General features: G+C 34.3%; 1 long non-coding RNA gene across 1 annotated transcript in view; it reads left to right on the top strand.

The window, feature by feature from the left end:
* The first annotated feature begins 231 nt into the window (after positions 1–231).
* The window catches only part of LOC107984478 (uncharacterized), a 55,308-nt gene continuing 45,955 nt past the window's right edge, over positions 232–9,584 (top strand). Inside the window, exon 1 of the long non-coding RNA XR_001749242.3 lies at positions 232–286. This is a non-coding gene — a long non-coding RNA (uncharacterized LOC107984478). The remainder of the gene's footprint in view (positions 287–9,584) is intronic.

Raw genomic sequence — 9,584 nt, 5'->3', positions numbered from 1 at the left:
TGTTTATTTTTGGTCTCAGAAAAAACCCAAAGTAAATTTGTCAAAGAATACATGCTTTACCGACAGAACATAAATTCTGTAAAAATAAGAGCACTCACACCAGAAAGACATTTGTCTTTATACCAGATACAAACTTTCCAGAAAAGGCAGTCTTTCACCATCTCAGGCGGGATGGAAGGTTGTCTGGTAAGACTCCCTTCTCCAAATCAGATCCTGAATAAAGTCAAAATCTTCAAGCAAAAAGAGGATGGCTCAACCTGAAAGAAGACTCACCATGGAAGAAAAGGTGAGCTATGGAAGCAGAGTGCTCTAAGGGCTCAAATGGGTACTACACACTAGTTCTAGAAATGGCTAATTTCTACCAGAAGTGATCTTTCTTGAGGTCTTCTTCTGGACACCATTTATATCAGCTTAAATAACAAAGGGGGAGTTGCTCTCTAAAATAAAATGATATTTATTTGGAAATGGAAATATGCACACCATAGTAAATGTGTGCATATTCAGGGAGGTAAAGGAAAACAAAGATTTAAGAAAAAAGTGAGGATGATTACATAATTACCTTGAGATAATTATTACCTTGGCTACAAGAACAAGTGTGGTTCTATTCTGGGGTTGAACAGGCAGTTGCTAGGCAGATGTCATTGCAGAAGTAGTTTTTTGTTTGTTTGTTTTTTTTTTTTTTTGAGACGGAGTCTCGCTCCGTGGCCCGGGCCAGAGTGCACTGGCGCCATCTCGGCTCACTGCAAGCTCCGCCTCCCGGGTTCACGCCATTCTCCTGCCTCAGCCTCCCGAGTAGCTGGGACTACAGGCGCCCACCACCGCACCAGGCTAATTTTTTGTATTTTTAGTAGAGACGGGGTTTCACCGTGTTAGCCAGGATGGTCTCGATCTCTTGACCTCCTGATCCACCCGCCTCGGCCTCCCAAAGTGCTGGGATTACAGGCGTGAGCCACTGCGCCTGGCCAGTAGTTGTTTTTTTGTGTAAGGTTGTGATGGCACTTGTGCAAGATTGTGGTCTTTTGTGATGCTTTTTATTATGAGGCATTTATGCATGAGAATCTTCTCTTTATTACCTTTCCTAGCTCTATTTGTCAATTTTTTTTATTGTTGCTTTTTGCTGTTTGTGTACATTTTGTTGTTTGTGTACATTTTGTTTTTTTCCATAAGTGACTCCTGGAAGTTGAACCTGATGAAAAGGTATTTGAATTTAACCAGAAGAATGTGTGTCCAAGGTTGTGAGTGTGTACCACATTATTGAGGAATGTAAATGACAAAATTAGTACCTCGAGCAGGGGAATACACAGATCTTAGAAAAAGTAAAAGCATGTAAAATTTCCCGGTTAGATGAAACAATTTAGACATGTCAAAAAAAGCTAAGAGTACAGAATCAAATTTTACCAGAGGAAAAGATTGCTTTTTTAGGTATTAAGATTAATATTTCAGCATCAGGCCCTAAGAGCAGAGTTAGAACTGGGGGAAAATGTTACAAGAGCTAATGAAAAAGTTGAAGAAAGTTATTGTCTCAGACCTTCTCAAGGGGAGAAAGACGAAGAGCAGAAGGCAATGATGCATGAACTGCAAATCACATGAACTTCTGAGATATGAATCTGAGAAGCTTCAAGAGGAAAATTCTATCTCCAGATATAAAATTGTCATTCTAAATAAAAAAGAAGCATTACAAACCTGAAACTAGGGAAATTAAATGAAGTCCATAAAACAGAAAAAAGCTACAGAAATTCAAGATCAAAATCTTTTGCAGATTTTCTGAGAGTAGATCAATATTTCAGAAAAGTCTTGTTTCTAAATAAATAACTATGGGTGATGAAACAACCTGTACAATAAACCCCCGTAACACACGTTTACCTACGTAACAAACCTGTACATACGGTGCATGTACCCCTGAACGTAAAAGTTAAACACTAAATATTAGTTTTGCATCAGTGTATTTTTAATATCAAACATCAATCTTTACAAAGACTTATAAATACATCCCTTCAAATTATAGCCAACTAGGGCATACACAAAATTTCTTTTGCATCCTTCACAAACCTTTGGCAACCTGCATGAACCTTTGATGACATGTGTGGACTTTTGCTTTGTCCTATAATTCCTCTTTCTTAAATAAACAGTCATTTTAATTTAGGACAAAAATTTACCACAAAATTTTCTTTTTTATACAAATTATTTTTATTTTTGACTTTTCTTAACAAAAATGCTTTTTCACATTCATAACTTTCTTCACATTTCTCTTTCCTACCTACTGGGTCCTTTCCATCTTGTTTCTATTTCCTTCCTAAATTTACTTTTTGAAATAAACTTTAAAGAATATCTAAATTAGCCAAAATTAAGATTTTTCCTCAATAAAGAGCACATATTTATGCCTTTCATATGATTTTTCTCATTAAAACACATCTTACTTTTTAGGTACAATTTATATACAGAATTGCATTATATTAGTTGGAATTTTAACTTTTAGTAACATTTTCTCATGCAAACCTAGGAAGCAATTAATTTTGAACTGTCATATATGAGTATTTTGTGGATGAGAATCATTTTATAATTTTAAAACACAAGTTTCATGCTTAATGTATGGGCCACACAAAAGTTCACCAAATTGCCCCATGTCCTAGCCAGAAACATTCAAACTGCAAACCAGAATGAGAAGTTGATGTTTTCACACTGTAGACAGCTTTTATCTAAACATCAGAATAAGGCTCCATGTCATAATGAGACAAGCTCTCTTAATGCCTATCTTTTCACTTGGCTGGATAATGATCATTTGATTTATTCAATTGTTAGCCTTTAAGCCTAAATTCACAGCTCAAAATCATTAGGCAAACTGGGATTGTCATGTAACTTATTAGTTTTGCTTTGTATTTCCCTTTTAAAGCTTTGTATCTGTTACTTAGTAAATTTTTGCAGAAGTACAACTCCTAACAGACTAGTGCTAACCCAGCACTTTGAGATGATAGCAAAAGACCATGGAACAGACAAAATTGAACTTCATAATGGACTCCAGGTGGACTTAACCTGAAAGTCTCTCCCTTCAAACCTCTCTAGTTGCTAAAAGAGTTTTGACATTGCCAATTACTTCTTCCAGTTTGGGACCAGACCAGAAACCTGGGACAGGTCCACCCTGATGCTGATGAACAATCCAAACCTAACTACAGGATGCTTAATCATTGAGGCTTTTAGAGAAAGATCTTCGTCAAAAGGGAGAAATGTGAATGCTGTGAGAATAAAAATGGAGTTATTTATGTTAAACAACAAAAACATAAAACAAACCCTGACAAACAGAGCCAGGAAAGGCCATGAAGAGAGGGTTCTCAAGCGCAAGTGCTTGATAACAAAAACTACCAGAAAATACTTTGCAAAAACCACAACTTCTCACAAACGTCCTTACAACCTTACACAAAAAAAACACTTCTGGGAAGACATTTTCCCAGCAACTGCCTGTCCAGCCCCAGAATGGAGCCACCCTTGTTACTGATCCTTATAGCCAAGAATAATTCTCGCAAAATAATTATATAATACTCATGTTTTTCCTTTAAAAACCTTTGTCTTCTTTTACTTCCATGAATATGCACATCTTTTACTATAGTATGCATGTTCTCATTGCAATGTCTTATTTTCGAATAGATAATTGTTTAAGAAAACCTCTCTCTGTTATTTAGATTGACTCTAAAGAGCGAAGAAGCTGGAGTTCAAACTCAGGCATTCTTTATTACTGTGTTATCCCGTTAACCACTATGTTATCCTGCTTCCCAGAAATAACCAAAGAAGGAAGCAAGGAAGAACAGAAACTGCAAAGATTTAGAGAAAGCAGGAATAAAGTATCTGTAAATCTTGGTGAGGTTGAAGAACAGTGATGAGGTTTGAAATTAGGTGAAGGATAGGCAGTTGTTGCTTGAAAGTGGAATAGCATGTGTTTACGATTTCAGGGATAGAGCAGTTCAGGAAATGAGAAAATTGAGGGTGCAGTATTGGAAGCAAATGGCTAAAGTGCAATAAAAGTGAAGGTCAACGGCATAGAGACAAAACTAGAACAATGAAGCTATTATTGTTACATGCACAGAATTGAGAGCAGGGCAAATGCTGAGTTTCTTGGAGAGAGAGTATATCAGTGTTAACATCACCGAAGAATTGGAGGTAAAGATATCCCTATGAGGAGAGACTACAAAAGAGATTAGAAAAATAATTATTTATTTATTGAATTTTCAAACTTTCCCCTTATATGTCTCATTTAAGTGCTCATGCCTAGAATTACACTCGTTTTTTTTTTTTTTTTCTTCTGACAGGGCAAGAAAAAAAATAAATCTGCCATAAAGTCAAGTTGATTTTCCTTCTATGTGTTTGATTTTGTAGTGTTTCTCTCCTACATTCTCAGTCTTTGCTGACCTTCTGTTTTTCAAAACCTCCTGAGACTCTAGGGTTATCCATCTCACCTAACCTTGCAGTGTTTAACTCACTGCCTTTATCTAATATGCTCTGACTCACACCTAGTCTGACCTGTTTATTATAGACTGACAGTTGCCTTACAGACCAGATTCACTGCATTCTGGCAAGTTTCTGCTCCTTCAGACTCCTTGGTCCTGACCTTGCATATCCTCCTTATATTTTTTATAGGGCTCTTGGCTGCCTAAGCTGGATGTGAATGAACATTTCATGTTTTCTTGGCAAGGAAAAAACTTCTTTCTGCTTGGTCTGGGTTAGAAGAAAACCCTATCAAGTCAGCCTCTGCAATACTGAAAGACTATATACCATTTTTAAAATAATAAAGTACGTATTATGGAAGACAAACGCCTCTGATTTAGCGTCAGAGAATTTTAGATTTGCAGCTCAGCATGTCTTTGGCTTTTATAAGCTTCTCTCATTATGAAATTAATTATTTAAATAATTACAACAATGTAAATGAACCATCATCTCAAAATAGAACCCAATTTACTTCCTGCTAGTCCCCTAAGGGGCCTCTTTCTGTAGTTCAGTGTAACCATGTCATCACTCCAGTTCACCAATTTGTGTTTCCTGCTTTATGGATTAAGCACTGTGGAGCCTATCATGTTCTAACTACCTTTGCTTCCGCCTTTTCTTTATTACCATGTTGCTATTTTACCAACAACTGACAAAGTTTAGTGGGAGGCAGAAAGTGATGACAGCATGGCCATTGGGCAATTCAGGTTAAATATATGTACATTTAATTATTTACACTTGGATTTAACATTGTAATTGGGAGTCCTGGAAAGGCATTAGAATCTCAGTTTATTGCTAACAGCATGGTGCTTGTATTTTCAAAGAAGAGCTGATACGGGGCTAATTAGATTTACTATCAGATATCTGGCTTTGCCTGAAATTGCCTTCTTCACTCTCAATAAGTAGTAAAATTTCACTAAGTCTCTTATCTTGGTGATATTTCTTTAAACTGAAACCCATAATGCTACTAGGTGATTAAAAAACTAAGTTTGAAATGTATAACACAGTTCTGTACTTGTTAAAACCTTTGAAGAAGCAGAGCTAGACAAACACGGTAGTCCCCCTTTATCCACGGGAGAATACATTCCAAGAACCCTAACAGATGCTTAAAACCGCGGAAAGTACTTAATCTTACATATACTATATTTTTTCCTATACTTACATACATTTAATAAAGTTTAATTATAAATTAGGCATAGTACAAAACTAGGAACAATAGTAATAAAATGGGAAAATTATAACATTATGCCAACATCACTCATTCTGTGCTTCGGGCCCATTATTAAGCAAAGTAAGGGTTACTTGAAAACAAGGGCTGTGACACCATTACAGTTGATCTGATAAGTGAGGCTACTACTAAGTGACAACTGGATATGCTGAACAAAGGGATGACTTACATTCCAGGTGGGACAAAGTGGAGTGGGCTGATATGAGATTTCCTTATGTTTCTCAGAAAGGCTTTCAATTTAAAACTTATACATTGTTTATTTCTGGAATTTTCCATTTGGTATTTTCGAATTGCAGTTAACTGTGAGCAACTGAAACATGGAAAGTAAAACTCTTTTACTTTATAGATAAACTGCCTTTATAGATAAAGGGCAACTATTGTACTTGATTTTATTCATGTGGATAAGAAAAAAACATAGTTTCAAAAAGTATGACAGATAAGGAAAAAAATACAAGCGTTGTACATCTTGCATTTAAAAAGGTAACTACATATGAGCTAATCAAAGTATGATTCTGATAATCAGGTAAAGGTAAAACTTAAACCAACTGTTCTTCACTAACTCCTTTTAAAATAGCTTTTGCTGCCAAACTTGTCATCATCTAACACAAATCAGGCTGCTGAGGTTATAGAGTAGATTCCCGGTGGAGGAGGGGGCATGGTATATATTTGGAAATGTCCACAGTTTTGCCAAGAAAATAATGGTTTTGTTGTAGTTTCATGTTGATGGAATCTAGGAACTCAGAAATATTAAAACCATAAGAATCAAGAGAAATTGACAGTGTAAAAAGAGGAAGTCTGAAATGGTGAGGTCAAAGGCATGAGATAGGCCTTGCCCAGGTTTCAACAATTGGGGCTACAAATGTTGCAACACAAATAACATGAATTTGAGTGACATATGGCTCTTATAGAAAAACAAAAACATGACTTTTTATGCATGGCTATTACATACATAGAAAATATGGCAGCTGGTAAATCCATGAGTGAAAAGAAATATATTAAAAAAATAGAGAATTGGGGAAAACATATAAAAGGTAATTATGTTAGAAAATATTATCTCAACCTCCACATGCCTTAATTGCCTTTTATATTTAGTATCGTGCTTCTGTGCAACACTCTGCATGATATCTCAATATTAACTTCCAATTCATTAATTCTCTCCCTGACTGTATATACTTATTAGTGCTATTGGTTGCCTCAAATTTTTATGCAAAAAGCATCACTAGACCTAAAAAGGAACATTTCAGGAAGATGAAGATATCAACCCATGAAGAACATGTTTTGATTCAAAACCTGCATATACCCCATAACAGAGCTTCAAAATATGTAAAGCAACATTTTGTAAAAGCAAATGGGGTAGATAGTCGCATTCACAGTTTGACACTTTAACATATCTCCTTCAGTAGCTGATAGATGAAAGTGAACAAAAGAAACAAACATCCATAAGAATGGAAAAGTGAAACAAGGGCACTGAAATCAAACTTGTTCTAATTGGAATGTATGGAACACTGCATCCAACAATGACAAAAAGTACATTTTATTTAAATGCACATAAGAAAGTCATCAAGACTGACAATATGCTGCTTTATAAAATAAGCCTTAACAATTGCAATGAATTGATATAATTTAAATTATAGTTTCTGACCACATTGAAATAACCTAGAAAATCTCCAAACTTGCAAAATTATGCAATACACTTATAAACAACTTAATTATCAACTTAAAGATGATAAAATCATAATGTAATAATAAAAAGAAATAATTTCAATTAATTTGACAACTTAGATAAAATGGACAGTTATCTTATGTATACAAGTTACAAAAAATCACCCAAGAATAAATTGAAAAAAAAAAAAGAAAATAATAGTCCTGTAGTGGTTTTTAAAAATAAAATCTAAAATTTAATACTTGCATGTGAAGAAAATCCCAGATAATCTACTTATTATTTTTTACACTTGAAAAATAAATAACATCAAAATACACAAAGTGGAAATTTTCAAAAAATAAATGGAAAAATAGAATAATTCTAATCTTCACAGATAGTTTAACATTGTTTTCTGAGCAATTAATAAAACATATAGTTTAAAAAATCTGTAAAGACATAAATAACCTGATCAATACTATATTGCCCAAAACAATATTTGTTTGACACTACTGCTTCCAACAACTGCCAAATATACAATTCTTACAAGTCAAAAATAACAGAAGCCAGGAAATAGACCTGAAGATATATTGTTATTTAATTTATGATTAAGGTATCACAGCAATTTAATGAGGAAAAGACATACTTTTTTTCACAATTAATTCTGGGCTAATTGGATACCCATATGGAAAAAGGAAACAAAATATTGATGTCTATTTCAAGCTATATATTTACTTGCATGAAAATATGAAAAAAAATCATTCATGTTTCAAAGAGAAAACACGGGAGAGTATCTTCATGACCTTGGCCTAGGCAAAATTTCTTTAGGCTATCAACAGCGTTAACTATAAAAAAAGTTGTGATGTGGACTATATTAAAATAATAATTTCTGTTTAGTAAAAGACATTATTAAAGGGTGTAAAAGCAAGCAAGAAAATGGAAGCAGATATTTGCAGTATGTATTTCAAACAAAGGTCTTGCCTTCAGAATATATAAAGAACTTCTATGAATCTTTAAGAGAAAGGCAAAAAACACAACAGAAAAATGGATAAAGGCCTTAAACAGGCACTTCACAAAAGGAGAGTGTCAAAATTACACAGTAAACATAAGAGATGCTTATTTTATTTGCCATCAGAAAAATGGAAGTTTAAATCACAATGTAATAATACTGCACAGTCACTAGGAATATTTAAAAAGAAAAACACAAAATACCAAGTGGAATCAATAGAAACTCTCAAACTCTGCTCTTTGGAGTTACAAAGAAAAATCACACAAGAATAAATGATGCAATTTAAAAAAAACCCAAGTCATCATTTATTTTTTGACAATTTTATTGAAATATAGTACATGCTATATGATTTGACCATTCAAGTGCACAGTGAATTTTAGCATAATCACAGATGTGTGCAACTGTGATCACCATTGTCAACTGTGTAACATTTTTGTCACTTTGAAAAGAAAGCCTGTACCGTTTAGCTATCAACCTCTACCCAGTCTCAGGAAAACTGTAATCTGATTTTGTTTCTACAGATTTACCTTTTCTGGGCATTTCATCTGAATAAAATTATATAATAGGCAATATTCTTGGTCAATACAGGCTTTTATAACTAAGTACTGTAAATTAGATTATTTGTAAACAACAGACATTTATTTCTCACAGTTCTGAAGGTTGGGAAGTCCAAGATCAAGGCAGCAGCAGATTTGGTGTCTGGTGATGCTCTTCTTTCTGGCTTACAGAGTGTGCCTTCTTGCTGTGTCCTACCATGGTAGAGAGATTTAGCTAGCTCTCTGAGGTCTCTTTTATAAGGGCACTGATCCCATTCATGAGGTTTGAGGCCTCATGACTTAATCACCACCGAAAGGCTCTACCTTCTAATACCATCAACTTAGGGATTAGGTTTCAACACATGAGTTTTGATTTCAAATATATAGCATTCTGCCCCAGCACCCAAGATTACTTTATTCCTTTTTGATGCCCAAATTACACTTCATCATATGAATATACAACCATTTGTTTATTCATTCATCAACTGATAGACACTTGGGCTGTTTCCACAATTTGGCTATTATAAATAAAGCTGCTATATACATTTGTGTTCACATTTGTATGTGGATATATGTTTTCATTACTTTTAGGTATATAATTCTTAGTTATGTAAGAATTATAGAGGTATATAACTAGTGATATGATTTTTAAGTGTCATGTAACTTAGAATAGATAGACCATATAGTAACTCTCTGTTTAAT

Source organism: Homo sapiens, chromosome 12 (genome assembly GCF_000001405.40).
Source record: "Homo sapiens chromosome 12, GRCh38.p14 Primary Assembly".
Classification (NCBI taxonomy): domain Eukaryota; kingdom Metazoa; phylum Chordata; class Mammalia; order Primates; family Hominidae; genus Homo; species Homo sapiens.
This window is presented reverse-complemented; position numbering and strand designations above follow the sequence as displayed.